Source organism: Homo sapiens, chromosome 12 (genome assembly GCF_000001405.40).
Source record: "Homo sapiens chromosome 12, GRCh38.p14 Primary Assembly".
NCBI classification, from domain to species: Eukaryota; Metazoa; Chordata; class Mammalia; order Primates; family Hominidae; genus Homo; species Homo sapiens.
In genome coordinates this window covers 63,770,417-63,773,008 of record NC_000012.12, presented here as the reverse complement: position 1 = coordinate 63,773,008, position 2,592 = coordinate 63,770,417, and positions in this window count along the sequence as shown.

Below are 2,592 nucleotides of genomic sequence, written 5' to 3'. Positions count from 1 at the left end.
CACCATACCTGCCTAATTTTTGTATTTTTAGTGGAGATGGGGTTTCACCATGTTGGCCAGGCTAGTCTTGAACTCCTGACCTCAGGCAATCAACTCACCTCGGGCTCCCAGAGTGCTGGGATAACAGGCATGAGCCACCACACCCAGCTGTAATTAAACTTTCATAAAATCTCTAATGGACAGGGTTTGGAGAGCTTCTGAATAGCTAAACATGACGAAGTTCCTAGAGGGTGGCACCCCCAGAGAGGGCAGGAAAGCGCCACGCCCCTTCCCACATGTCTTTCTCCATGCATGTCTTCATCTGTATCCCTTGTAATATTCTTTAAAATAAACTAATAAAAGTAAATATTTCCCTGGGTTATAACGAGCTGTTTTAGAAAATGTGTCAAACTCGAGGAGGTGGTTGTGGGAACCTGGATTCATAGCCAGTGGGTTAGACGCACAGGTAAAACAACCCAGAGCTTGCGGTTGGCATGAGAAATGGGGAGTAGTCTTATGGAACGGAGCCCTAAGCCTATGGGATCTGATGCTATCTCCAGATGTTGTCAGAATTGAAATGGAGGACACTCAGCTTGTATCTGCTGAAGAACTGATGGATTGGTTGATGGTTGTCGGTGGGGAGAAATCTCCAGATACTTCTTGGTGACCAGGGGTCACAGAAGTCTTTTTTTTTTTTCTGAGTCAGGGTCTTACTCTGTCCCCCATACTGGAGTGCAGTAGTGCAAACATGGCTTACTTCAGCCTCAACCTCCTGGGTTCAAGTGATCCTCCCACCTCGGCCTCCTGAGTAGCTGGGATCACAGGTATATGCCATCATTCTTGGCTAAGTTTTAAAATTTTTGTAGCAACTGGTTCTTGCTACATTGCCCAGGCTGTTCTCAAACTCCTGGGCTCAAGCAATCCTCCTGCCTTGGTCTCCCAAATTGCTGGGATTATAGATGTGAGCCATCACTCCAGCCAACATAACAATTTTGAAAATTTCTATTGTGAGAATAGTCTGTTCTTTAATCAAAGATTTTCTGAACAAGAGGAATATCAACATAACAGAACAAAAAATGATCCTAGGAACTGAATTGGAATCTTAATCTCTTGATGATGAAATGAAGGGAGACAAAGGTTAGGTCAGAAAGGCTTTTTTTGAAACAATCTATAGCTTGCTCTCTGTAAAAAGGTACAATCCTTGACTCTTTTATTGAAGAATAATAAGATACAAATCGTGTTCAAGATCTTCTCACGCTCTTGAAGATGGAAAATATTTGGAGTTAGTTGATTTCTCTCCCCTCACCATTCCCTTTGCTAGCGTAGATTCAAAGACAGTCTTTACAGCAGCTGGAGAAAACTTGTACAAAAATATGCTTAACCATGACAACATTAACACACTTTGTTTTTTTAAGATCACACTTTTCAAAAAAGGTCAAGTAATATTTTATCTTTAATTATTTATGATAAATTTTCTTTATTTTAATTAAATGTTTAGGCTACTATTTTTAAAGCTTTATTATTTGTTAATAATTCATATTTGAATAATAATACAGTTTTAACATTTATTTTTAATTTACCTTTTTACTTACTAGGTTTATAAATTTATAGTTTTTTTGTATTTAAAAATACCATTTTTCTAAGATAAGAAAGGAAAATATCAGTTTTGTATTTGAAATATTTATTTTGTATTTGTATGTATCATTTCATATTTGGAAATATAATAATTTTATATTTGAAAATATAAACATGCATCATTTTGTATTTGAAAATGTAAATATACAGCACTGAAAACAATGTACTTTCCTGCCTCTATGCTGATCAATTCTAGACCAAATCATACTTTCTTGTTTTTGACTAAGCAATAGTGGGGCAAGTCTAATATAGCTTAACTGCCTATAGTGGAAATAGTGGCTCCTGGAAGTCGACTGTAAACCAACTAAAATAGCTTATGTAGAAAGTGAAAGTTCCTCTTCAAAGTTTCCCTTCTTGTTAAAGAATAAATCATAAGTTTAAAAATAATAGTTTCTTATAAAAACTAACTTCCTTCAAGCCTCCTTGCTTTGTGCTAATAACTCTTTGTTAAGCCCGATCCTATGTAGCTGTTAAAAATGCTCACAGGGACGTAGTACATTATATACCCTTGTACCTTAACAAATATATTTGTGCTGGACATGCTCACAGGCACGTTCCAGCTCGCAGCCTATGCCCCTTCCCTATTTGGCATAAGCAACTTCGTCTTTTCCTTTGTCTTTCCGTTACTTTTACCTATTTAGAAAAGTTTTAAACTGTTAGCCAATTGGGTTTTAATTTAGATTGTGAGGTCTGGCTCCAGCCAATGGAGACAGGACACAGTAGCAGGGACAAACTGTGTAAGGGATAAAAATTTCTTCCCTCCTTTGTTCAGGTATCCTCTCACCATTGTTCCATCTGTGGTGAGCACCCTTTCTGCAGAAAATAAAAATGGCTTTGCTGAGACAATTAAATTTATGTTCAAGTGCTATTTCTTTGGAGCACCAGGGAACAAGCATTCTGTTTCTAAATAAACATTTTACATATAACACTTATCAAGAACTTGCCTCATTATCCTAGTCTCACTGTTTGATTATCCAA